This window comes from Homo sapiens, chromosome 12 (genome assembly GCF_000001405.40).
Source record: "Homo sapiens chromosome 12, GRCh38.p14 Primary Assembly".
Lineage (NCBI taxonomy): Eukaryota > Metazoa > Chordata > Mammalia > Primates > Hominidae > Homo > Homo sapiens.
The window spans coordinates 111,948,107-111,976,042 of NC_000012.12; the positions used below are offsets into that span (position 1 = coordinate 111,948,107).

The 27,936-nt window shown below is 40.5% G+C and overlaps 1 protein-coding gene across 5 annotated transcripts in view, besides 2 other annotated features; it reads right to left on the reverse strand.

Annotated features, from left to right (window-relative positions):
* The window catches only part of TMEM116 (transmembrane protein 116), an 81,938-nt gene that overhangs the window by 16,825 nt on the left and 37,177 nt on the right, over window positions 1-27,936 (reverse strand). Inside the window, exon 6 of one of the 5 annotated variants that reach the window (NM_001294314.2) lies at window positions 17,489-17,653. The exons of the other annotated variants lie outside the window; for them this stretch is intronic. The gene's annotated coding sequence lies outside the window, so the exon portion shown is untranslated. The remainder of the gene's footprint in view (window positions 1-17,488; window positions 17,654-27,936) is intronic. 5 annotated transcript variants of the gene reach the window in all.
* Window positions 5,426-5,626: a silencer, noted in NCBI's record as "peak1957 fragment used in MPRA reporter construct". NCBI's record gives its function as "represses an SCP1 promoter by STARR-seq MPRAs in K562 erythroleukemia cells {active_cell/tissue: K562}" and the evidence as "EXISTENCE:reporter gene assay evidence [ECO:0000049][PMID:32103011]".
* Window positions 6,886-7,086: a silencer, noted in NCBI's record as "peak1958 fragment used in MPRA reporter construct". NCBI's record gives its function as "represses an SCP1 promoter by STARR-seq MPRAs in K562 erythroleukemia cells {active_cell/tissue: K562}" and the evidence as "EXISTENCE:reporter gene assay evidence [ECO:0000049][PMID:32103011]".

Consider the following 27,936-nt stretch of genomic DNA (forward strand, 5'->3'; position numbering starts at 1 on the left):
CAGCCTAGCAGGTACAAGGTAAAAAACATGCTTTTCTCAGAGGTTAATTTACATATAAGCACTGAGTTCAGCTAGAAGCCTTGAAACTTATATTCCTCCCTGCTCAGCCACCTTGCTGCTCCTGTTGAGGGAGGGCTACCGTGCCCATCCAGGAAAGAAATAGTTCAAGTCTTCTGAGAAACGTAGGAGTTCAGAGTAAGGTGAGATGAGAAGACAGAATCACAGATAGAATTTGAATAGGTTAGGGGGAAGAGGGTTGGGCATTCTAAACAAAGGGCTAGAATAGGAAAAGGGGCAGAGACAGGAATAAGGATGTCTAGTTTCCCACAGGAACTTAGTGCTTCATACAGTGCCAATCAATAGTAGGTCCTCAGTAAATATTTTGATCAATAGTAGGTAGTCAGTAAATATTTTGTTGGATGGCTAAAAGATATTCAGGCCACCTGCATACCTAGAGCATCTCAAACTTGGTACATAAAACAAGTGGCAGTATCTTGGGGAATAATCAAAGCACCAAAACAAAAATGGCAACAATTTTACCAGATTTACTAGTAGGTAAACTAAAACTTTTAAAAATTTAAAACAAATATACTCATGCATATATTTATTTTAATTTTATACATCATATGGGATTATATGGCAGGGGGGCTTTGTAAATTGCAAAGTTCCAATAAATTCTTTTTAAAAAATGGCTGGGCATGGTAGCTCACACCTGTGATTCCAATACTTTGGTAGTCCTAGCCAAGAGGATCACTTGAGGCTAGGAGTTTGAGACCAGCCTGGACAACATAGCAAGACCTCATCTCTACAAAAAATAAAATAAAATAAAATTAGCTGGGCATGGTGGTGCACACCTGCAGTCCCAGCTACTCAGAGCTACTCAGGAGGCTGAGGTGGTGGGGTGGCGGGGGTGGCGGGGGTTGCTTGAGCTTAGGAGTTAGAGGCTGCAGTGAACTATGATTGCGCCACTGTGCTCCAACCTGGGCAATAGGGCAAGGCCCTCTCCCCCAACCCCCACCCCCAAAAAAGAAAGAAAACAAAAACAAAAACAAAATCTTTTTCTCTTAAGCTATCTACAGTTTACACTAATTTGATAAAATATGCTTTTATAAAGAAAAGTAAAATCATTTACTTTTTCTCCCTACTTGATCCCTTCAAAACTAAAAAACTACCCATAAGTATTCTTATTCTTATAACAATATAGTTGATTCCACAAGTTCAATAAAAATATGCTATTTTTATAATGGAATACAATTTAAAACATTGCTTATATATATTAGCAAGGTTTTGACTAGAATGTCATATTTAAATTGTTTATAGATACTATGGACAAAGTCTAAAGTCTGCCTTCATTTGGCTTCCTAGACTTAAGAACTTTTTAAATCTGAAATTACAGTGTGGTCAGTTGCTATTCCTGCTGCACTTATATTAATGATCAGGTAATATTTGATAAAACTAAACTATTTTACAAACAATTTAGTCTTACTCTATTATCTTTGGTAAAAATCGCAATTATGGTAAAGAAAAAACTTATGTTTCTAAGAAAATCTGTAATACACCTGTTATTAGACTGTGGCCCTGAGGAATTGTTTTCAAGTTTTTATTATGTACCTATAGAATGGACTAGATCCTAAAATCTTCTAGGTACCTCCAATCCAACCTTCTTCCATAAAATTACTAAAACCAGGAAATGCTGTTCCTAAAACCCTGTAAACTAAAACCAAATAGGTCAGGGTGATGGCTCATGCCTGTAATCCCAGCACTTTGGAAGACCGAGGCGGGTGGATCACCTGAGGTCAGGAGTTCAAGATCAGCCTGGTCAACATGGTGAGACCCCGTCTCTACTAAAAGTATAAAAATTAGCTGGGCATGGTAGTGCACACCTGTAGTCCCTGCTACTCAAGAGGCTGAGGCAGGAGAATCACTTGAACCTGGAAGGCAGAGGTTTCAGTGAGCCAAGATCGCACCACTGCAATCCAGCCTGGGTGACAACAGTGAGACTCCCTCTCAAAAACAAAACAAAACAAAACAAAACAAAAAAAACAACCAAAAAAACCTTAAACTAAAGAAATTTTAAGAGATGGGTCTTGTGCCCGGGGTATGGGCAACACAGAAAGTTCACTGGACTGCCCAATGCCATAACCAGAGACATTAAAAACTACAAACCAAGATGAGAAATTGATGCCTTTATGCTGTGGACATCTTTCCCCAGAAACAATGGAATAAGACTCCCCATCATAATGAGACTCTTGCCTCTTAATTTTTCCTTGCTTATGCCTACCTCTTTCACTTGGCAGAACATTGGTGTAATTAAAATTTCACAATCAGTAGCCACTGCAGATAACTTGACAAGATCTGATCTTAAAAAAAAAAAAAAAAAAAATCCTTTAGAACAGGATAGAGAGCCCAGAAATAAGGCTGCACATCTACAACTATCTGATCTTCGACGAAGCTGACAAAAACAAGCAATGGGGAAAGGACTCCCTATTCAATAAATGGTGCTGGGATAACTGGCTAGCCATATGCAGAAGATTGAAACTGTACCCTTTCCTTACACCATATATAAAAATTAACTCAAGATGGATTAAAGACTTAAATGTAAAACCCAAAACTATAAAAATCCTGGAAGACAACCTAAGTAATACCATTCTGAACATGGAAACAGACAAAGATTTCATGACAAAGACATCAAAAGCAATTGCAAAAAATGCAAAAATTGCCAAATGGGATCTAATTAAACTAAAGAGCTTCTGCACAGCAAGAGAAATTACCAACAGAGTAAACAGACAACCTACAGAAAGAAAGAAAATTCTTGCAAACTATGCATCTGACAAAGGTCTAATATCTAGCATTTATAAGGAACTTAAAAATCAACTTATAAGAAAAAAGCCTCATTAAAAAGTGCACAAAGGACATGAACAGATACTTTTCAAAAGAAGACATACATGCAGCCAACAAGCATATGAAAAAAAGCTCAACATCACTGATCACTAGACAAACGCAAATCAAAATCACAATGAGATACTATCTCACACCAGTCAGAATGGTGTGGTTACACCACAGATGCTGGTGAGGTTGTAGAGAAAAGGAAATGCTTATACACTGTTGGTAGGAGTGTAAATTAGTTCAACCATTGTGGAAAACAGTGTGGTGATTCCTCAAAGACCTAAAGACAGAAATACCATTCGACTCAGCAATCCCATTACTGGGTATGTGCCCAAAGGAATATAAATCATTTTATCATAAAGACACATGCACACATACGTTTGCTGCAGCACTATTCACAATAGCAAAGACATAGAATCAACCTAAATGTCCATCAATGGTAGACTGGATAAAGTAAATGTGGTACATATATATCATGGAATACCATACAGTCATAAAAAAGGACAAGATCATGTCCTTTTCAGGAACATTGATGGAGCTAGTGGCCATGATCCTTAGCAAACTAACATAGAAACAGGAAACCAAATACCACATGTTCTCATAAGTGGGAGCTAAATGATGGGAATACATGGACACATAGAGGGAAACAACACACACTGGGGCTTATCAGAGAATGGAGGGTGGAAGGAGGGAGAGGATCAGGAAAAATAACTAATGGGTACTAGGCTTAAAACCTGGGTGATGAATGAATCTGTACAACAAACCCCCATGACACAAGTTTACCTATATAACAAACCTGCCCATGTACCCCTGAACTTAAAATAAGAGTTAAAAAAAAAGGAAAAAAAAATCATTTAGCCTACCTAGTAGGTGATGTTAGCAACATCCCAATACAACTTTTTGTTCAGCTTGCACTAAGTTTTCAAACTGACTTAGTGGCTGGGCACGGTGGCTTGGCCGGGTGCGGTGGCTCATGCCTGTAATCCCAGCACTTTTGAGAGGCTGAGGTGGGCGGACCATGAGGTCAGGAGATCGAGACCATGTTGGCCAACATGGTGAAACCCCATTTCTACTAAAAATACAAAAATTAGCTGGGTGTGGTGGCATGCGCCTGTAATCCCAGCTACTTGGGACGCTGAGGCAGGAGAATCACTTGAACCTGGAAGATGGAGATTGCAGTGAGCCAAGATTGAGCCACTGCACTCCAGCCTGGTGACAGAGCGAGATTCCATCTCAAAACAAAACAAAACAAAAAAAACACACACACAACTGACTTGCTGACTTGGCTCTCTCTGCTTCAAATCAACCCAGTCATAAAATGCTAAGTAATAAGATTGCTATCTACTAGCTGAACAACAACAATAACAAAAAGTCTAAGATATTACTAATACTACATGGTGTGGATAGATAAATTCCTCTGGAAAAGCTGAGACCCATATACACATAATTTAAAAGCAGGCCACATAAATACAAGAGGTCTGTGATGGTTAATACTGAGTGTCAACTTGATTGGATTGAATGATGCAAAGTATTGTTCCTGGGTGTGTCTGTGAGGGTGTTGCCAAAGGAGATTAACATTTGAGTCAGTGGACTGTGAAAGGCACACCCACCCTTAATCTGGGTGGGCACAATCTAATCAGCTGCCAGTGTAGCCAGAATGAAAAACAGGCAGAAGAACCTGAAAAGACTAGCCTGGCTTAGCCTCCCAGCCTACATCTTTCTCCCGTACTGGATGCTTCCTCTTCTTGAATGTCAGACTCCAAGTTCTTCAGCTTTGGGACTCAGACTGGCTTCCTTGCTCCTCAGCTTGCAGACAGCCTATTGTGGGACTTTGTGATCATGTGAGTTAATACTCCTTAATAAACTCCCCTTTATATATACATCTATCCTATTAGTTCTGTCCCTCTAGAGAACCCTAATACAAGGTCTCACCTAATTCCCCATGGTCATTTGATTTATTCAACTGGTTGCCTTTAATCCTAGGTTCATGGCTCAAAACTATTATGTGAAATGAGATTATCATATTACTATGAACTTTACTTTGTATTTTTTTAACTTTGTACCTATTACTTCCCAAATTTCTACAAAAGTACAACTCCTAACAAAATAATGCTGGCCCAACACTTTGTGATGATAACAACACTTACAAAATAGCAAAATTAAACTTAACAATAGACTCCACCTGGTAGACTTACCCTGTGAGCCACTCCCTCCAAACTTCCCTTGTTGCTCAAATGTGACTAAAAGAGTTTGACACTAACTCCTAGTCACCAATGACTCCCTTCGACATGGGACCAGACCAACAACCTGAGACAAATCCATCCTGACACCAAGAAACAATCAAACATAATTTTCAATCAAACAACCAGGATGACTGATCAGCAATGCTTTCAGAAAAAGATCTTGATCAAAGGGGAGAAATGCGAAAATTGTCAGAATCAAAATGGAGTCACTCGGGTCAAATCCCTGACAAATGGAGCCAGGGAAGGCCAAGAACGGAGGTTCTCATGCACATATGCCTGATAATAAGAACCATCACAAAAGATCCTGCAAAAATCACAACATTGCACATAGGCCACTTCAACCTTACACACACAAAAAGTACTTATGCAAGGATATCTGCCTAACAACTGCCGTCTAACCTTGGACTGATGCCACGCTTGTTAATCCTTGTATCCAAAGATAACAATTACGTAATCCTCCTTATTTTTCCTTTAAAAATCCTTGTTTTCCTTTACCTCCCTGAATATGCCCATCATATTCCCATTGCAGTGCTTACTTCTGAATAAATTCTATTTCTTTTAGAGAGTCTCTCTCTCTGTTATTTAGGCTGACAACCTCAATAGCTTACTTAGTTCACTCTTCTACAAGAACACATTTAAAACTATCACAAACATGTGGTTGTCTAATTCTCTGTAAAATGATCTTGACTAGATGGCAGCTCAAGATTATCATAGAAAATAGTTTCCAATAAAGCATAAAAATACTATCATATTTTCATTTAATTACACATCAGTATTAACCCTAGTTTAATGTTTAAAAAACCAAAAATAAAAAATAATTACACGCCAATAAAGCTGAAAAAATCTATTTTTTGCTATTGATTAGCAAAAATTTAATCTCCTTTGATATCTAAACCATTAGAAGATCCTAAAAAATCACAATAATAATGTTACATAAACCCATAGCCACTGTAAAATTTAGGCCTTAGAGTTAGGCAAACTAAGTCCAAAAGGTCACTGAGGGAGTGAGACTACATTAACAAGCAAAGATCATAAAATTTAATTCTATATGGGAGAATATGTTTTCTATTGCCAGGCAGATGCAGACCCTGTTTTCTATTGCCAGGCAGATGCAGAAAGTAATCGATCAGTAAGGATGTGCAGGAATGAAAGGATTGCAAGTGAATCCTCTGTTTGAGGAAGTAGGGAGAGATTCTATATTACCTTGAAAAATAAACAGAACAATAATAGTTTATACTAATCAAGGGCACTTTACATTTGTTATCTAATTTCTTCTTCACAACAACTCTTAAGAACCTTGTCATTATTCTTATTTTACAAGATAAAACTAAGACTTAGAGAAGTTCACTTGCTTAAAAAGTCACAGAGCTAACAGCTGTGAAAGCTGTTGGCAGCTGTTGAACCCAGGTCCGATCGACTGCAAACTACAGCTTTAATTCTAAGCCTTAAACTTCATGTCATTTGCAACCCAAACTGGTGTCTCTAACATATCTGACTAGCACATTCTTCCAGGAAATAAAACGGTTCACTAAGAAAATATAGCTGATGGCACTTCAACTTGTATCAAAGTATACAGAAGAATAGCCAAGATTAAATGGAAAGGCTGACTGGGACAGTGTCTGGCATTGTTTTTTCTGTATCTTGTTTTTCCATAGCAGTTTTCCTGGTAAACATAGATCAGTCAGGGTGGTGGGAAAAATTGTAGAAAGATGCAAACCTTCTTGGAAGGCCAGAAGTTTTCACAAAAGCTTTGGAAAAAGATTTGGCTGAAGGTAGCCAGATTCTCTTATCCAGTGCCTGAAAGTTTAGGTTAGATAACAAGGAGATGTAAAGAAACTGATCTAGATAAGTTAGTTTACATAGGCCTCGGAACCTGGCTTTTAATCATCTGCCCACAAATATGTTGACTCAAGGCCTTTGTCATTAAATCTACACTGAATAAATGCCCGCAGCACTGGCTTGTCAGGGCTGCAGCTGCTGACTCTTTACAGTACCCTCCTTGGTGTCTGTGGGTGGCCCAGTCCCGTAGCCCACTCTTTCACTAGATCCCTGTGTCTGAGTGCATTTGTTCATCCACTGTTCGGCCAGGGTCTGCGGGTTGGACCTGGCAGGTAAACAGAAATCTTAGTGCAACAACCCTCTCAGATGCTTTTGGAGAAAGCATGGAATTTGTTCCTGATCCAAAAATTCTACAGGACAATCATATATATCCAAATTAATCCTCTCAGTGCAGAGCTAGTCATCTAAGGGAATAAAAAAATCTGAGGTTTGACCATGGATCAGATTCCATCTTTCAGAGGCAGATGCTGTAGTGCAGACAAAGCCTTCTGATCCAAATGTTATCCTGGCATTGCAACATCTTTTTACTGGTTGGCTGAGTTCACAAAAGAAATAGTACTTGGAAAACAGCACATCTCAGCCTATTAATCAAAAACTGAAATTACAGTCATGCACTGCATAACAACATTTCGGTCAACAGCAGACCGCATATAAGACAGTGGCCGCATAAGATTATAATACTGTATTTTTTACCATACCTTTTCTATGTTTAGATATGCAAATGCTTACCATTGTGTTACAATGGCCTATAGTATTCAATACAGTAACATGTTGTTTAGGTTTATAGCCTAGGAGCTGTAGGCTATACCATATAGCTTAGGTGTATAGTAGGCTATATCATCTAGGTTTGTGTAAATGCACTCTATGATGTTCACACAATGATGAAATTGCCTAATGATGCATTTTCAGAATGTATTGCTGTCGTTAAACGATGCATGACTGTATTTCTGATGGCTTAGTTCAAAAATTCACTTTGCTTCTCAGGTAAGTTCCAGAATTAAAAACTAGCTATGGGCAAATGATTGATTTCTTCTGTTCCAGTTCAGTGAAGTGGCATAAGCGTGCTCCAGCTGTACTGATCCAGTTTGCTCTGATCAGCTATGGGTTTCCTATAAAACTCTTTTCATTATGTGAATCAAACAGGAACTCAATAACTGCAGCCACATAATAAGGTTATAATATAAGAAGTGAACAAATCTCATTCTAATTTGTATCCCATGTCTACCCCAGTGGAAGATGGAAAGCTCAAAACAAAAATATTCGTGTGTCCTGAAGATTTAGCATCCTAAACCTGGAAAGCACATTAAAAAGCCATTTAATGTAATAATTTCCAAATGCCAGTTCAGAAATTAATGCTGATCCCTGACATTGCTCTAAGAACCAACAAACAGAAGAATAGCATCAACATCAAAAAATAGGACCCCTCCCTCTCCCTCTCCCCTTTGCATGGTCCTCGTCTCCCCTTTGCACGGTCTCCCTCTAATGCCGAGCCGAGGCTGGACTATACTGCCGCCATCTCGGCTCACTGCAGCCTCCCTGCCTGATTCTCCTGCCTCAGCCTGCCGAGTGCCTGGGACTGCAGGTGCGCGCCGCCACACCTGACTGGTTTTCGTATTTTTTGGTGGAGACGGGGTTTCGCCGTGTTGGCTGGGCTGGTCTCCAGCTCCTGACCGCGAGTGGTCTGCCAGCCTCGGCCTCCTGAAGTGCTGGGATTGCAGACGGAGTCTCGCTCACTCAGTGCTCAATGTTGCCCAGGCTGGAGTGAGTGGCGTGATCTCGGATCGCTACAACCTCCACCTCCCAGCCACCTGCCTTGGCCTCCCAAAGTCCCAAGATTGCAGCCTCTGCCTGGCCGCCACCCCGTATAGGAAGTGAGGAGCGTCTCTGCCTGGCCGCCCATCGTCTGTGATGTGAGGAGCCCCTCTGCCTGGCCGCCCAGTCCGGGAAGTGAGGAGCGCCTCTTCCCGGCCACCACCCCGTCTAGGAAGTGAGGAGCGTCTCTGCCTGGCCACCCATCGTCTGGGATGTGAGGAGCCCCTCTGCCCGGCCGCCCAGTCTGGGAAGTGAGGAGTGCCTCTTCCTGGCCGTCATCCCGTCTAGGAAGTGAGGAGTGTCTCTGCCTGGCCGCCCATCATCTGGGATGTGGGGAGCACCTCTGCCCCGCCGCCCCATCTGAGATGTGAAGAGTGCCTCTGCCCGGCCATGATCCCGTCTGGGAACTGAGGAGTGTCTCTGCCCCGCCGCCACCCCGTCTGGGAGGTGAGGAGCATCTCTGACTGGCCGCCCTGTCTGAGAAGTGAGGAGCCCCTCCGCCCGGCAGCCGCCCCATCTGGGAAGTGGGGAGCCCCTCCGCCCGGCAGCCACCCCGTCTGGGAAGTGAGGAGCGTCTACGCCCGGCAGCCGCCCCGTCCAGGAGGTGGGGGGCAGCGCCCCCCTGGCCAGCCGCCCCGTCCGGGAGGTGGGGGGCAGCCCCCGCCCAGCCAGCCGCCCCGTCTGGGAGGTGGGGGCCAGCCCCCGCCCGGCCAGCCGCCCCGTCCGGGAGGTGGGGGGCCCCTCTGCCCGGCTGCCCCGTCTGGGAAGTGAGGAGCCCCTCTGCCTGGCCGCCGTCCCGTCTGGGAGGTGGGGGGGCCCCTCTGCCTGGCAGCCCCGTCTGGGAAGGGAGGAGCCCCTCTGCCCGGCCACCACCCCGTCTGGGAGGTGTACCCAACAGCTCATTGAGAACGGGCCATGATGACAATGGCGGTTTTGTTGAATAGAAAAGGGGGAAATGTGGGGAAAAGAAAGAGAGATCAGATTGTTATTGTGTCTGTGTAGAAAGAAGTAGACATAGGAGACTCCATTTTGTTCTGTACTAGGAAAAATTCTTCTGCCTTGGGATGCTGTTAATCTATAACCTTACCCCCAACCCCGTGCTCTCTGAAACATGTGCTGTGTCCACTAAGGGTTAAATGGATTAAGGGCGGTGCAAGATGTGCTTTGTTAAACAGATGCTTGAAGGCAGCATGCTCGTTAAGAGTCATCACCACTCCCTAATCTCAACTACCCAGGGACACAAACACTGCGGAAGGCGGCAGGGCCCTCTGCCTAGGAAAACCAGAGACCTTTGTTCACAAGTTTATCTGCTGACCTTCCCTCCACTATTGTCCTATGACCCTGCCAAATCCCCCTCTCCGAGAAACACCCACGAATGATCAATAAATACTAAAAAAAAAAAAAAAAAAAAAAAAAAAAAAATAGGAGGCCCACTCAGAGACCCCATCCGAAGGTCACCAACATCAAAGACCAAAGGTAGATAAATTCCACAAAGATGGGAAGAAACCAGCACAAAAAGGCTGAAAATTCCAAAAACCAAAACACCTCTTCTCCTCCAAAGGATCACAACTCCTTGCCAGCAAGGGAACAAAACTGGATGGAGAATGAGTTTGATGAATTGACAGAAGTAGGCTTCAGAAGGTGGGTAATAACAAACTCCTCTGAGTTAAAGGAGCACATTCTAACCCAATGCAAGGAAGCTAAGAACCTTGAAAAAAGGTTAGACAAATTGCTAACTAGAATAACCAGTTTAGAGAAGAACATAAATGACCTGATAGAGCTGAAAAACACAGCACAAGAACTTCGTGAAACATACACAAGTATCAATAGCCAAATCAATCAAGTGGAAGAAAGGATATCAGAGATTGAAGATCAACTGAATGAAATAAAGTGAGAAGACAAGATTGGAGAAAAAAGAATGAAAAAGAATGAACAAAGCCTCCAAGAAATATGGGACTACGTGAAAAGACCAAATCTACGTTTGATTGGTGTACCTGAAAGTGATGGGGAAAATGGAACCAAGATGGAAAATACTCTTCAGGATATTATCCAGGAGAACTTCCCCAACCTAGCAAGACAGGCCAACATTCAAATTCAGGAAATACAGATACCACCACAAAGATACTCCTCGAGAAGAGCAACCCCAAGACACAAAATCATCAGATTCACCAAGGTTGAAATGAAAGAAAAAATGTTAAGGGCAGCCAGAGAGAAAGGTCAGGTTACCCACAAAGGGAAGCCCATCAGACTAACAGTAGATCTCTCTGCAGAAACCCTACAAGCTAGAAGAGAGTGGAGGCCAATATTCAACATTCTTAAAGAAAAGAATTTTCAACCCAGAATTTCATATCCAGCCAAATTAAGCTTCATAAGTGAAGGATAAATAAAATCCTTTACAGACAAGCAAATTCTGAGAGATTTTGTCACCACCAGGCCTGCCTTACAAGAGCTCTTGAAGGAAGCACTAAACATGGAAAGGAACAACTGGTACCAGCCACTGCAAAAACATACCAAATTGTAGACCATCGACACTACGAAGAAACTGCTTCAACTAATGGGTAAAATAACCAGCTAGCATCATAATGACAGGATCAAATTCACACATGACAATATTAACCTTAAATGCAAATGGGCTAAATGCCCCAATTAAAAGACACAGACCGGCAAATTGGATAAAGAGTCAAGACCCATTGGTGTACTGTATTCAGGAGACCCATCTCACGTGCAGAGACACACATAGGCTCAAAATAAAGGGATGAAGGAATATTTACCAAGCAAATGCAAAGCCAAAAAAAATAAAGCAGGGGTTGCAATCCTAGTCTCTGATAAAACAGACTTTAAACCAAACCAACAAAGATCAAAAGAGATAAAGAAGGGCATTACATAATGGTAAAGGGATCAATGCAACAAGAAGAGCTAACTATCCTAAATATATATGCACCCAATACAGGAGCACCCAGACTCATAAAACAAGTTCTTAGGGACCTACAAAGAGATTTAGACTGCCACACAATAATGTGAGACTTTAATACCCCACTGTCGATATTAGATCAACGAGACAGAAAATTAACAAGGATATTCAGGACTTGAACTCAGCTCTAGACCAAGCGGACCTAATAGACATCTACAGAACTCTCTGCCCTAAATCAACAGAATATACATTCTTCTCAGCACCACATTGCATTTATTCTAAAATTGACCATATAATTGGAAATAAAACACTCCTCCACAAATGCAAAAGAACGGAAATCGTAACAAATAGTCTCTCAGACAACAGTGCAATCAAATTAGAACTCAGGATTAAGAAACTCACTCAGAATCGGCCGGGCACAGTGGCTCATGCCTGTAATCCCAACACTTTGGGAGGCTGAGGCGGGTAGATCACAAGGTCAGGAGATCGAGACCACCCTGGCTGACATGGTGAAAACTCCATCTCTACTAAAAATACAAAAAAAATTAGCTGGGGGTGGTGGCGGGCCCCTGTAGTACCAGCTACTTGGAAGGCTGAGGCAGGAGAATGACGTGAACCCGGGAGGCAGAGCTTGCAGTGAGCCGAGATTGCACCACTGTACTCCAGCCTGGGCGACAGAGCAAGACTCCGTCTCAAAAAAAAAAAAAAAAAAAAAAAAAAAGAAACTCACTCAAACCACACAACTACATGGAAACTGAACAACCTGCTCCTGAATGACTACTGGGTAAATAACGAAATTAAGGAAGCAATACGTAAGTTCTTTGAAACCAATGAGAACAAAGACACAACATACCAGAATCTTTGGGACACAGCCAAAGCAGTGTTTAGAGGGAAATTTATAGCACTAAATGCCCACAGGAGGAAGCAAGAAAAATTTAAATCAACACCCTAATATCACAATGAAAAGAACTAGAGAAGCAAGAGCAAACAAATTCAAAAGCTAGCAGAACACAAGAAATAACTAAGATCAGAGCAAAACTGACGGAGATAGAGACAGGAAAAACCCTTCAAAAAAATCAATGAATCCAGGACCTGATTTTTTGAAAAGATTAATAAAATAGATAGACCACTAGCCAGACTAACAAAGAAGAAGAGAAGAATCAAATAGACACAGTAAAAAATGATAAAGGGGATGTCACCACTGATCCCACAGAAATACAAACTACCATCAGAGAATACTATAAACACCTCTATGCAAATAAACTAGAAAACCTAGAAGAAATGGATAAATTCTTGGACACATACAACTTCCCAAGACTAAACCAGGAAGAAGGTGAATCCCTGAATAGACCAATAACAAGTTCTGAAATTTAGGCAGTAATTAATAGCCTACCAACCAGAAAAAGTCCAGGACCAGACAGATTCACAGACAAATTCTACCAGAGGTACAAAGGGGAGCTGGTACCATTTCTTCCGAAACTATTTCAAACAACAGAAAAAGAGAGAATCCTCCCTAACTCATTTTATGAGGCCAGCATCATCCTGATACCAAAAACCTGGCAGAGACACAACAAAAAAAGAAAAATTCAGGACAATATCCCTGATGAACATCGATGCGAAAATCCTCAACAAAATATGTCAAACTGAATCCAGCAGCACATTAAAAAGATTATCCACCATGATCAAGTTGGCTTCATCCCTGGGATGCAAGGCTGGATCAACAAATGCAAATCAATAAACGTAACCCATCACATAAACAGAACCAATGGCAAACACCACATGATTAATAGATGCAGAAAAGGACTTTGACAAAATTCTACATCCCTTCATGCTAAAAACTCTCAATAAACTATGTATTGATGGAACATATCTCAAAATAATAAGAGCTATTTATGACAAACCCACAGCCAATATCATACTGAATGGGCAAAAACTGGAAGCATTCCCTTTGAAAACTGGCACAAGACAAGGATGCCCTCTCTCACCACTCCTATTCAACATAGTATTGGAAGTTCTGGTCAGGGCAATCAGGCAAGAGAAAGAAATAAAGCATATTCAAATAGGAAAAGAGGAGGTCTAATTGTCTCTGTTTGCAGATGACATGATTGTATATTTAGAAAACCCCATTGTCTCAGCCCAAAATCTCCTTAAGCTGATAAGCAACTTAAGCAAAGTCTCAGGATACAAAATCAATGTGCAAAAATCACAAGCATTCCTATACACCAACAGCAGACAGAGAGCCAAAGCATGAGTGAACTCCCATTCACAATTGCTACAAAAGGAATTAAATACCTAGGAATACAACTTCCAAGGGATGTGAAGGACCTCTTCAAGAAGAACTACAAACTGCTGCTGAAGGAAATAAGAGAGGACACAAATAAATGGAAAAACATTCCATGTTCATGGATAGGAAGAATCAATATCATGAAAATGGCCATACTGCCCAAAGTAATTATAGATTCAATGCTATCCCCATCAAGCTACCACTGACTTTCTTCACAAAATTAGAAAAAACTACTTTAAATTTCATATGGAACCAAAAAAGGCCCACATAGCCAAGACAATCCTAAACAAAAAGAACAAAGCTGGAGGCATCATGCCACCTGACTTCAAACTATACTACAAAGCTACAGTAACAAAAACAGCATGGTACTGGTACCAAAACAGATATATAGATCAATGGAACAGAACAGAGGCCTCAGAAATAACACCACACATCTACAACCATCTGATCTTTGACAAACCTGACAAAAACAAGCAATGGGGAAAGGATTGCCTATTTAATAAATGGCGTTGGAAAAACTGGCTAGCCATGTGCAGAAAACTGAAACTGGACCCGTTCCTTACACCTTATACAAAAATTAACTCAAGATGGATTAAAGACTTAAACATAAGACTTAAAACCATAAAAACCCTAGAAGAAAACCTAGGCAATACCATTCAGGACATAGGCATGGGCAAAGACATCATGACTAAAACACCAAAATCAATGGCAACAAAAGCCAAAATTGACAAATGGGATCTAATTAAACTAAAGAGCTTCTGCACAGCAAAAGAAACTATCATCAAAGTGAACAGGCAGCCTATAGAATGGGAGAAAATTTTTGCAATCTATCCATCTGACAAAGGGCTAATATCCACGATCTACAAAGAACTTAAACAAATTTATAAGAACAAAACAACTCCATCAAAAAGTGGGCAAAGGATATGAACAGACACTTCTCAAAAGAAGACATTATGCAGCCAACAAACATATGAAAAAAAGCTCATCATCACTGGTCATTAGAGAAATGCAAATCAAAACCACAATGAGATACCATCTCACCCCAGTTAGAATGGGGATCATTAAAAAGTCAGGAAACAACAGATACTGGAGAGGATGTGGAGAAATAGGAACAGAAATAGAAATGCTTTTACACTGTTGGTGGGAGTGTAAATTAGTTCAACCATTGTGGAAGACGGTGTGGCAATTCCTCAAGGACCTAGAACCAGAAATACCATTTGACCCAGCAATCCCATTACTGGGTATATACCCAAAGGATTAGAAATCATTCTACTATAAAGACATATGCCCATGTATGTTTATTGTGGCACTATTCACAATAGCAAAGCCTTGGAACCAACCCAAATGCCCGTCAATGATAGACTGGATAAAGAAAATGTGGCTCATATACACTATGGAACACTATGCAGCTATAAAAAGGGATGAGTTTATGTCCTTTGCAGGGACATGGATGAAGCTGGAAACCATCATTCCCAGCAACTAACACAAGAACAGAAAACCAAACACCACATGTTCTCACTCATAAGTGGGACAATGAGAACACATGGACACAGGGAGGGGAACATCACACACCAGGGCCTGTCAGGGGGTTGGGGGCTAGGGGAGGGATAGCATTAGGAGAAATACCTAATGGAGATGATGGGTAGATGGGTGCAGCAAACCACCATGGCACATGTATACCTATGTAACAAACCTGCACGTCCTGCACACATACGCCAGAACTTAAAGTATTTTTTTTAAAAAAAGAAATGCTGAGGAAAATAGAGGCAATGAAATTAGTTTTTCATATGATTAAATTTACTAATTTAAAGAACCACCAATTCTTCTGATATTATTTTTTTGCCAAGTTTTTTGTCTCAAATGTTATTTCTTTTATGAAAGTAGATGGTAGTTATGGTAGTTGTTTTTAAATGTTCTTCAGTTAGCAAAATATAAACTCGGCAACATTAAAACAACTCCCGTTTTTTTTTTCTTTTTAGTTTTTCTCATTTCTAAAATTCTGAAGTCTGGGACCCACTGAACTACTTCTCTACTATATCACCTGAATTTCAGGTTAAAAAAAAAAAAAAAAAGTAAAGGCTGGGTGCGGTGGCTCATGCCTGTAATCCCAGCACTTTGGGAGGCTGAGGTGGGCGGATCACAAGGTCAAGAGATCAAGACCATCCTGGCCAACATGGTGAAACCCCATCTCTACTAACAATACAAAAATTAGCTGGGCTTGGTAGTGGCGCATGCCTGTAGTCCCAGCTACTTGGGAGGCTGAGGCAGGAGAATCACTTGAACCCGGGAGATGGAGGTTGCAGTGAGCTGAGATCACACCAATGCACTCCAGCCTGGCAACAGACAGAGACTCCATCTCAAAAAAAAAAAAAAAAAGTAAATCAGTTTCACACAGATGACATTATGAACATTTGTGATAAGGAAACACCAAAGTGACTCTAAGAATTTATTCTCATCAACAATCCTCAAGGTTTCTACACGAACCAAATTTTTTTTCCTGCTACTTCTTAAGCCCATTCTCTTAAGTCTGCTCCAGTGAAAATGATTAATTAATAACTGCTAACCGTATTCCAAAGTGTGGCAACAGTTTACAATAAGGACAAAGATTTATTTTCTTTTCTTTTGAGGCAGGGTCTTGCTATGTTACCCAGGCTGAAGTGTAGTAGTGTGATCGCAACTCACTGTAGCCGCGACCTCCTAGGTGCAAGTGATCCTCTCACTTCAGCCTCCTGAGTAGCTGGGACCACAGGTGCGCACCACCATGCCCAGCTAATTTAAAAAAAATTTTTTTGTAGAGACAGGGCTCTCAATATGTCACCCAGGCTGGTCTCAAACTCCTGGACTCAAGCGATCCTCCCACCTCAGCCTCTCAAAGTGCTGAGATTACAGGCATGAAGCCACCATGCCCAGGTAAAGAGCAAAGAGTTTTTCTAAAAGGTTTTTTCTGTTCAAAGACTGGAACTAGAAATCTAGATTCAGAAACCTGAATATATTGTTTGTTTAAATCAGGTGACTGGTTTTCTTTCTTTACTGTGACTCTCCAAAAGTCTAGGACCTCTTCATCGGCTTGTATAAATAAGGGAAGGCCCCAGCTCCTCCTACCCCCATTTTTTTTTCCTCAAGAGCCAGCTAGAGAGTAATTTTGAAAAGCAGAGATATTTTATCTAAACTGATCAAATTATAGAAGTAGGAGAAAGGAAAGAAAGGTGAACTTTTACTTTTCAGTTGTATATCCCTCTTTGATATTTTAACTTACATAGTGAACAACACACCAAATTTTTTAATACAGAAAAAATAAAAATCATCCATTTATAAGGAGAGTACATATTTCTGTCTTGGTCTCCAGATCTTTAAAGAGTATTAAACTAGCTACCAGAATGCTCCATTAACATGGAAAGAGAGGAAAGAGTCAGGTTTGGGTTTTTCATTGGAATAACAAAATAAGCAATTACAACATCTAATTCCCAGCTCTAAAGTGGAAGGAAATAGGAAGTATTTTTAAACAGTTCTTACCAACTGGGTGCAAAGGTGAAAATTAGGCCATAAAGATACATTTAAGGAGGCCAGGTGCAGTGGCTCACACCTGTAATCCCAGCACTTTGGGAGGCCCAAGCGGTGAATCACTTGAGGTCAGGCATTCAGGACCAGCCTGGCAAACATGGCGAAACCCCGTCTCCCCTAAAAAAAAAAATACAAAAATTAGCCTTAGCCAGGCATGGTGGCGTATGCCTGTAGTCCCAGGTACTCTGGAGGCTGAGGCAGGAAACTCACTTGAACTTGGGAGGCGGAGGTTGCAATGAGCTGAGATCATGCCACTGCACTCCAGCCTGGGTGAAGGAGTGAGACTTTGTCTCAATAAATAAATAAATAAACAACAACAAAAAATTAAGATAAAGATCCATTTAAAACATTCTCATCCTCATTTGTTTAAGAAGAAATTTGAGGCCAGGCACGGTGGCTCATGCCTGTAATCCCAGCACTTTGGGAGGCTGAGGCGGCTGATCACCTGAGGTCAGGAGTTTGAGACCAGTCTGGCCAACGTGGCAAAACCCTATCTCCACTAAAAGTACAAAAATTAGCCAGGTGTGATGGTGTGCACCTGCAATCCCAGCTACTTGGGAGGCTGAGGCAGAAGAATTGCTTGAACCTAGAAGGCAGAGGTTGCAGTGAGCAGAGATTGCACCACTGCACTCCAGCCTGGGCAACAGAGCAAGACTCCATCTCAAAAAAAAACAAAGAAGAAATTTAGCTGTGGTACCAGACTTAAGGTGATCTCGTCAACTACTTAAAAACTACTATAGGAAATTCTGATTCTGTAAAACTGATGCCTGAGTGTACTGTCAACTTAGATAGGTCAACAGTAATAGGAAAATCAGAAAATTAATACAGTCTAGACAAGAAAATGTTTTCCTAAGGTTTGTGGAAAATTATATTTAAGCCAAACTTGGAATAGTTTCAGGATTTGGAACTACTCAGTTTTTAAAAGAGAATTGCCAGTTTCTTAGCATCATAACTCGTAAAAGAGGTGTTAGACCACATAAAATGGGGCTATGGTTTGGTACTGACCCAGATCTCCTAACCTGTTGTTCAGGGCACTTCTTACTATTTCTCTTCTGATGGCTTATACAGTTGGAGTATATTTTCTCTTCTCATAGCCTCTCTTGGGCTTGCAAACTAAGAGTGCTCCAGCTGTACTGAGCCATTTCTCCTCCATGACCAGCTCTAAGTTTCCTACATCTAGTCAAAAGATCTAGGACATTTCCAAACCAATTTTGGGAGAAAGAGGCTCTAATGCCTTAACAGACCAGCTTGGTCAGCCTATCTTGTCAGACAGAAGCTTATTCCTAATCAAACAGATCTCTCCATAGGAAACTGTCTGAAGCCTTTCCAAACTATGCAATAAACTGGATCCACTTTCAAGACTAGGAAGAAACAATCACTATTGGTATAGTGCTTAGTTTAATGATCTTGATTCCCTTGCTCAGAGAAATCCATAAAAACACCATACACTCATAGAGAACCTTTAATTTTACAAAACATGTGTGCAGACATCTTATTTAACACTTTAAATCTGATGTAGATTAGAATGGCAATGATTTTCATTTTTAGAAAAAAAATTGATAAATATAAAAACAACTTCCTCGAAATCATACAGATTCTTAATAACAAAACTAAAATGAGAATCTAGGTCTCCTAAGTCTAGCTGTAGTACTTTCTTTACCATTGCTCTCCTAAAGTTGAATAAATGGACAAGTTGCACTATTTCATTTGAATTGTGGACCTCAATTTAAAGAAGGGAGCCAAGTAAAATAGTGTATTTTTTTCCTCCAACCTGGCAGGCTTATCAGAAGAAAAGACAATAAGGAATACTGAAACTTTTACTTAAGTCTGGAAGCACCTGGATTTTTTTTTCTAAAGAATAATTTAGATATATATTATAAGTTATTTAAATAATATGATCTCTGAGGCCTCCCAATTTCCCTGAATATCCAAAAGTTGAAATATTTTTAGCATATTATCTGTCCCTGAGTTTTAGTATAAAATTTGCACCTAACAACTATAATAATAAACACTTGATATCACAGTAATGACACAATGATACAAGCCCTAATGATCCCTACATAGGTGGGGAAAAAAATACACTTTAAAAAAACAAACTGGGACTTCCACTTCTGGCCAAGATGGAGTGACAGAACTGTATTTACTCTCCTAGCAAGCAAACGAAAATTAGATAAAACATCTGAAACAATGGTTTTCAAGACACCAGACATCAGACAACAAAGGGCAATAATCTCAGGGAGAAGAGAAATGAATAAAGTGAACTCTTTAACTGCCCTATCTTACCTCCTAGAAAAAGTTTTTATGCCACAGCACAGGAAATGGAAACTGAGGGAGGCCTTGTGAACTCCCTGCATTGAGGAGACAGAACTGAGAGTCCAAGGAGACCAAGGTAGCTAGAATTCATTGGAAAGGGTGCTGAAGAAAAACAAACAAACAAACAAAAGGCTTCACAGAGAACCTCATAGATTTGCAGAGGATTTGCAAGATCTACTGACTGGCGCATGTGTCTAAATAAACGTCTCAAAGCTGAAGAAAGAACCATTGAAAAGATTAGATAGAACAGTATCTAGAGTCCACATGGTGCCAACAATAGTGCCTGTTCTCACCACCAAGACTAGAAAAACTGATAATTCAACAAGGTATATGGGGTAGAGTACTCAGGAAGGTCTTGCCTCATTAGTGAGAAATAATTATCCTGAGAATGAGCATCATTCCATACCCACCTAACAAATTATAAAAGCAAGACCTGAATGATTCAAACTATTTCCAAGTAATTTAACTGCATCCAAGAATACAATTCAAGAATAGTTATGGTAATACAGAAATATCTAGCACCCAAGAAGATAAAATTTGAAATGTCTGGCATTCAGTAGAAGATTACCAGTCATACAAAGAAAAAGGAAAACATGACCTATACTAAGGAGAATACTAAATCAACTGAAACCTACCCAGGACTGAAACAGATATTAGAACTAGAAGTAAAGGACAATAAAATAGTCATCATAACTACATTCTATCTTTTCAGTAAGTTGAGACATTGGAGAAATATTTTTTAAAAACATCTATATTAGGCCAAGTGCAATGGCTCATGCCTGTAATCCCAGCTTTGGGAGGCTGAGGCAGGTGGATCACCTGAGGTCAGGAGTTCTAGACTAGCCTGACCAATATGGTGAAACCCCGTCTCTACTAAAAATTCAAAAATTAGCCGGGGGTGGTGGCGGGCACCTGTAATCGCAGCTACTCAGGAGACTGAGACAGGAGAATCGCTTCAACTCGGGAGGCGGAGGTTGCAGTGAGCCCACGTCGTGTCACTGCACTCCAACCTGGGCAACAGAGCGAGACTCTATCTCAAAAAAAAAAAAAAAAAAAAAGAAAAGAAAAGAAAAAAAAGAAAATGGCCAGGCGCGGTGGCTCACGCCTGTAATCCCAGCACTTTGGGAGGCCACGGCGGGTGGATCACCTGGGGTCGGGAGCTCAAGACCAGCCTGACCAACGTGGAGAAATCCCGTCTCTACTAAAAATATAAAATTAGCCGGGCACGGTGGTGCATGCCTGTAATCCCAGCTACTCGGGAGGCTGAGGCAGGAGAATCGTTTGAACCTGGGAGGTGGAGGTTGTGGTGAGCTAAGATTGCACCATTGCACTCCAGGCTGGGCAACAAGAGCGACGCTCCATCTCAAAAAAAAAAAAAAAAAATCTACATTAAACTGCTAGAGGCAAAAACTACAGTGCAACTATAATGGATGAGTTTTTTTGTTTATTTATTTTTTTTTTTTGAGATACACTCTGTTGCCCAGGCTGGAGCGCAGTGGAGCGATCTTGGCTCACAACCATCTCCGTCTCCTGGGTTCCAGTGATTCTCCTGCCTCAGCCTCCCGAATAGGTGGGACTACCTGGGCACACCACAGGTGTGCACCATCATACCCGGCTAATTTTTCTGTTGTTTTTTTTTTGAAATGGAGTCTCGCTCTTTCGCCCAGGCGGGACTGCAATGGTGCTATCTTGGCTCACTGCAAGCTCCGCCTCCCGGGTTCACGCCATTCTCCTGCCTCAGCCTCCCGAGTAGCTGGGACTACAAGTGCCCGCCACTGCGCCCGGCTAAATTTTTTTGTATTTTAGTAGAGACGGGGTTTCTCCATGTTGGCTAGGCTGGTCTCAAACTGCTGACCTCAAGTGATCCACCCACCTCAGCCTCTCAAAGTGCGGGGATTACAGGTGTGAGCCACTGCGCCTGGCCTGAGATTTTTTTTAAATCTCTAAATGAGATTAAGGACAGATAAGACATTGCAGAAGAAAAATTAATGAACTTCAAAGTGTAGCAATAGAAAATATCCAAATGGTAGGCTGGATGTGGTGGCTCATGCCTGTAATCCTAGCACTTTGGGAGGCCAGGGCAGGCAGATCACTTGAGGTCAGGAGTTCAAGACCAGCCTGGCCAACATGGTGAAACCCCATCTCTATAAAAATAGAAAAATTAGCTGGGCTTGTAATCCTAGATACTTGGGAGGTGCCTGTAATCCTAGATACTTGGGAGGCTGAGGCATAAGAATCACTTGAACCTGGGAGGCAGAAGTTGCAGTAAGCCAAGATCATGCCATGCCACTACCCTACACCCTGGGTGACAGAGCATGACTCCATCTCCAAAAAAAAAAAAAGAAAGAAAAGAAAATCTCCAAAATGGAAAACATGGGGGAAAAAAGCATGCAAAACTGCAAAGACTATTGGTGAACTGTGAGAAATCCTAATACCTGGGTAATAAAAGGCCTGAAAGCAGTTTAGGTGGTAGGAATGAGAAAAATATTTCTTCAAATATTTGAAGAAATAGTGGCCCCAAGCTTTCCAAATCTTATGAAGACAATAAACCAATAGATTCAAAAACCCAATGAATCAAAAGAACAAGAAATATAAAGAAAATAGCATTAAGGCACTTCATAATCAAATGGGTTTTTTTTTTTTTTTTTTGAGACGGAGTCTCGCTCTGTCACCCAGGCTGGAGTGCAATGGCGTGATCTCAGCTCACTGCAACCTCTGCCTTCTGGGTTTACACCATTCTCCTGCCTCAGCCTCCTGAGTAGCTGGGACTACAGGCACCTGCCACCATGCCCAGCTAATTTTTTTGTATTTTTTAGTGGAGATGGGGTTTCACCGTGTTAGCCAGGATGGTCTCAATCTGCTGACCTCGTGATCCGCCCGCCCACCTTGGCCTCCCAAAGTGCTGGGATTACAGGCGTGAGCCACCATGCCCAGCCCAAATGGTTCATTTTTTAAGAAAAAAACATAAAAGCAACCAGAGAGAAAAACAACATGTTACGTACAGAGGAATAACGATAAGAATAATATCAGATTTCTTGTTGAAAACAATGCAAGCAAAAAGTGCAGTAACATGTTTAAAATACTGAACTTCTGTCAACCTCGAATTCTATACCTAGCAAATATACTTTCAAAAACAAAGGTGCAGTAAAAACATTTTCAGACACATGAAACCAGACTCACCCTACAAGAAATGTTAAAGGGTGACATTTAGGCAGATGAAATATAATATTGATTGGAAATCAGGGATCTACACAAAAAAATGAAGAGCACCAGAAATGGTAAATATAAAGTATGTTTTTTTCTTACTACTTAAATACCATTAATAATAAACTATTTAGGCAAAAATAATAACAATGGATTGTGGGTTTTAAAACATGGAAAAGAAAAATGCATGACAACAATAGCATAAAGATTGGGAGAAGAGAAATGAAAGTACACTATTGTAAGATTCTTATCCTATATGTGAAGTGGCATAATATCACTTAAAGTTTAACTGCAATGTTAAAATGTACGCTGTAAACCCTGTAACACAACCAGTAACTTAAAAAAAAAAAAACTAAAAAATTTTAGTTAATAAGCCAACAAAAAAGACAATATGTAATAACAAAATGTAGTAGATTAATCCAAAAAAGGCAGAATTGAAGGAAAAGGGAACAAAAAACAGATGTAACAAATAGAAAACAAACAGCAAAATGTTAGATTCAAGTGTAATTATATAATCAAATTAAATGTAAGGTATTAAAGATTGTCAGACTGGAATAGTAAGACCTAACTAAATATTTACCACAAGAAGTGTACTTTATACATAAAACACAAACAAATTAAAATTAAAAAAATAGGTGGGCTCAGTGGCTCATGCCTGTAATCCCAGCACTTTGAAAGGCTCACTTGTGTAAGGATTGCTTGAGGCCAAGAATCTGAGACAAGCTTGGGCAACACAGTGAAACCCCATCTCTACAAAAAAAATATTTTAATTAGCCAGGTATGGTGGTTTTTGTAGTCCTACCAACTTAAGGAAGCTGAGGTTGGAGGATTGCTTGAGCCCAGGAGTTTGAGGTCATGTGAGCTATTATCATGCCACTACACTCCAGCCTAGGTGACAGAATGACACCCTATCTGTGAAAAAAAAAAAAAAAAAAAACCCACCAAAAACAAAAAAACAAAACCCAACTCTTCCTCTGAAGCAGGCTAGAGAAAAAATAAAGATATTAAAATATATACCATGGCAATAGTAATCAAAAGAAAGCTGAAATGGCTATATAAGTAACAGAAAATGTAGACTTCAAAATGAAGAAGGCCATTTCATAATAATGGTGTCACTTAATCAAGAGGTCATAAAAATACTAACTGTTTATGTACCTAATAAAAGAGATTCAAAATACATGAAGCAAAATAGAACTACAAAGAGAAATATACAAATCCACAATTATAGTCAGATATCAATACTCCTCACTCACTAATGAATAAAATAAATAGAAAATTAGCAAAGATTTAGTAAACTTAAACAATACTATCAACCAACTTGACAGAATTGATATTTATAGAATATTCCAGCCAACAACAGCAGAATGTAATTTTTCTTTCAAATGCATACAGAACATCTACCAAGATGGAACATATTCTAGACCATAAAATAAGTCTTGCCGGGTGTGGTGGCTCATGCCTATAATCCCAGCACTTTGGGAAGCCAAGACGGGCAAATCACTTGAGATCAGGAGTTCAAGACCACCCTAGCCAAAATGGTGAAACCCCGTCTCTACTAAAAATACAAAAATTAGCCAGGTGTGGTGGCGTGTGCCTATAATCCCAGCTACTCGGGAGGCTGAGGTAGAATTGCTGCAACCCAGGAGGAGGAGGTTGCAGTGAGCTGAGATCGCTCCATTGCACTGTAGCCTGGGTGACAAGAGCAAGACTCTGTCTCAAAAAGAAACAAAACAAAAAAAACACGCCAAGGCAGATGGATCACGAAGTCAGGAGATCGAGTTCATCCTGGCCAACATGGTGAAACCCCATCTCTACTAAAAATACAAAAATTAGCCAGGCGTGGTGGCACGCTCCTGTAGTCCCAGCTACTCAGGAGGCTGAGGCAGGAGAATTGCTTGAACCCAGGAGGTGGAGGCTGCAGTGAGCTGAGATTGCACCACTGCACTCCAGTCTGGCCGATAGGGTGGGACTCTGTCTCAAAAAAACAAAAAATAAATTAAAAAACAAGTCAATAATTTCAAAAGCACTCAAATCACACAATGAAATTAAATTACATTATCAATAACAGCATGATCCACAGAAAATCCCCAAATATTTGGAAACTAAATTATACACTTCTAAATAACTAAACAATTCATGGATTAAAGATCAAAAGAACAATTAGAAAGTATTTTAACTGAAGAAAAATTTTAAAACAACATATTAGAATTTACGGGATATACCAGCTACCATGGCACATGCCCATATTCCAGCTACTCAGCAGGATCACTTGAGTCCAGGAGTGTGAGTCCAGCCTAGGCAACATAAACAAGACTCCATCTCTAAAAATATACGTAAGTAAAGAGAATTTACGAGATGCTACTAAAGCAGTAATTAGGTAGCAATTTGTAGCATTAAATGCTTATATTAGAAATATCTCAAATCAATGACATCAACTTCCATTTTAAGAAAGAGCAAATTAAACCCATAGTAAAAATACAGGAAATAATGAAGATCAAAGCGGAAATCAAGGCCAGAAGTGGTGGCTCCCACCTGTAATCCCAGCACTTTGGGAGGCCGAGGCTGGAGATCACTTGAGTCCAGGAGTTTGAGACCAGCCTGGCCAACATATAAAATTAGCCAGGTGTGGTGGCACACACCTGCAATCCCAGCTACTTGGGTGGCTGAGGCAGGAGAATCACTTGAACCCAGGAGGTGGAGGTTGCAGATCGTGGCCTGCACTCCAAGCTGGGCAACAAAAGCGAGACTTTGTCAAAAAAACCCAAAAAAACAAAAAAACAAAAAATCCTACAGTATATAAAAATAATACATCACAACTAAGTGGGGTTTATCTCAGGCCTACAGAGTTGTTTCAACATTCAAAAGTAAATCAATTTAAATCATCCTATTAAAATACTAAAAAAATAAAAACCAGTGATCATCTAAATAGGTACAGAAAATAGCATTTGGAAAAATATAACATCCATTCTCAATTTTAAAAACAGAGAAAAAAAAAAACTCTCACCAAACTAGAAAAATTTCCTCAACTTGATTAAGGATATTTATGAAAAATCTATGGCTAGCATTACACTTAAGGTGAAAGATGGAATGCTTTCCTTCTAAAATCAGGAAAAAGACAGGACTGTCCACTTTCACCACTTTTATTCAACATTGTACTGGAGGTTCTAGTCACTGCAATCAGGCAGGGGAAAGAAAGAAATAGGCCAGGAGCAGTGGCTCATGCCTGTAATTCTAACACTTTGGGAGGCCGGGGTGGGCGGATCATTTGAGGTTTGAGGTCAGGAGTTCGAGACCAGCCTGGCCAACATGGTAAAACCCTGTCTCTACTAAAAATACAAAAAAACAAAAATTAGCTGGGCGTGGTGGTGCACGCCTATAATCCCACCTACTAGGGAGGCTGAGGTGGGAGAATCACTTGAACCTAGAAGAAGGCTGCAGTGAGCCGAGATCGCACCGCTGCACTCCAGCCTAGGCGACAGAGTGAGACTCTGTCGCAAAAAAAAAAAAAAGAAAAGAAAAGAAATAAAAGGCATCCAGAACTGGAAAGGAAAAAGTAACATTTTTATTTGTAGACAACATGATCATCCATGTAGAAAAGCCAATGATGTCTACAAAAGAGCTATTCAAACTAATGAATGACTTTAGCAAGGTTGCAGGATACAAGACCAATATATAAAAATGTATTTTATTTCTATATAATAATAAACAATTGGAATTTGAAATTTAAAAAATGTTATTTCAATAGCATAAAAAATATCAAATTCTTAGAGATAAATATGACAAAGGATGTGAAAGACCTATATACTTGAAAACTACAAAATATTGCAGAGAGATACTGAAGAAGACCTAAGCAATTTGCCAAACATACCTTGTTCATGGGTCAGAAGACTAAATATTGTAAAGATGTCACATCTCTCCAAATTGATATACAGATTCAATAAAATCCCAATTAAAATCTCAGCAGACATTTCTGTAGGAACTGACAAGCGATATCTGTTTTTTTGAGACAGAGTCTTGCTCTCCTACCCAGGCTGGAGTGCAGTGGCACGATCAGGGTTCACTGTAGCCTCAACCTCCTGGGCTTATGCAATCCTCCCACCTCAGTCAGCCTCTTGAGTAGCTGGGACCACAGGCATGTGCCTGCAAGCCCAGCTTATATATACAAACATTTTTTTTTGTAGAGACAGGGTCTCCCTAGGTTATTCAGTCTGATCTTGAACTCGTGGGCTCAAGCAGTCCTCCTGCCTCAGCCTCCCAAAGTACTGGGATTACAGGCATGAGCCACAGCCCCTGGCTAACAAGCATATTCTAGAATTCATATGAAAAAGGTAAAGAACATAGAAGAGCCAAATCAACTCTGATAAGAAGAACACAATTGGAGAGCTAATACTGCCTAATTTCAAGAAACGGTTTACAGCTAAAATAATCAAAATACCATGTTAGGGACTTCTGGTTTCAGTTCCAATGAGCAAAGAGCTTAGAAGTCACCACTCCTATCCTTATAGCAAGAAAAAAGCCAAATAGACTTGCCTTCCAGAGAAACTACTTCATCAGAGCCTTATCTGACATGGGGGAAGGACAATTAGTCAACTTCGGCCCCTCTAGCCTTCTTGTCTGATGTAAAGGGATACTTTAAAAAAAAAACACTGAGAAAAAGTTCTGAAGGTCACAGCCCAAGAGCTCAGGCCCACAAAAATAAATGCTTAAGATTTAATTATAAGATTATAGAATGCTTCCCCTCTCCAACACCTTACCATCACGTCAAAGGGGCTTCAGTGTAATTATAACTGAGAGAGGTTCAAACCATCAACTCCATTTAAGAAGTTTTTTTGTTTTGTTTTGTTTTTGTTTTTGTTTTTGAGATGGAGTCTTGCTCTGTCACC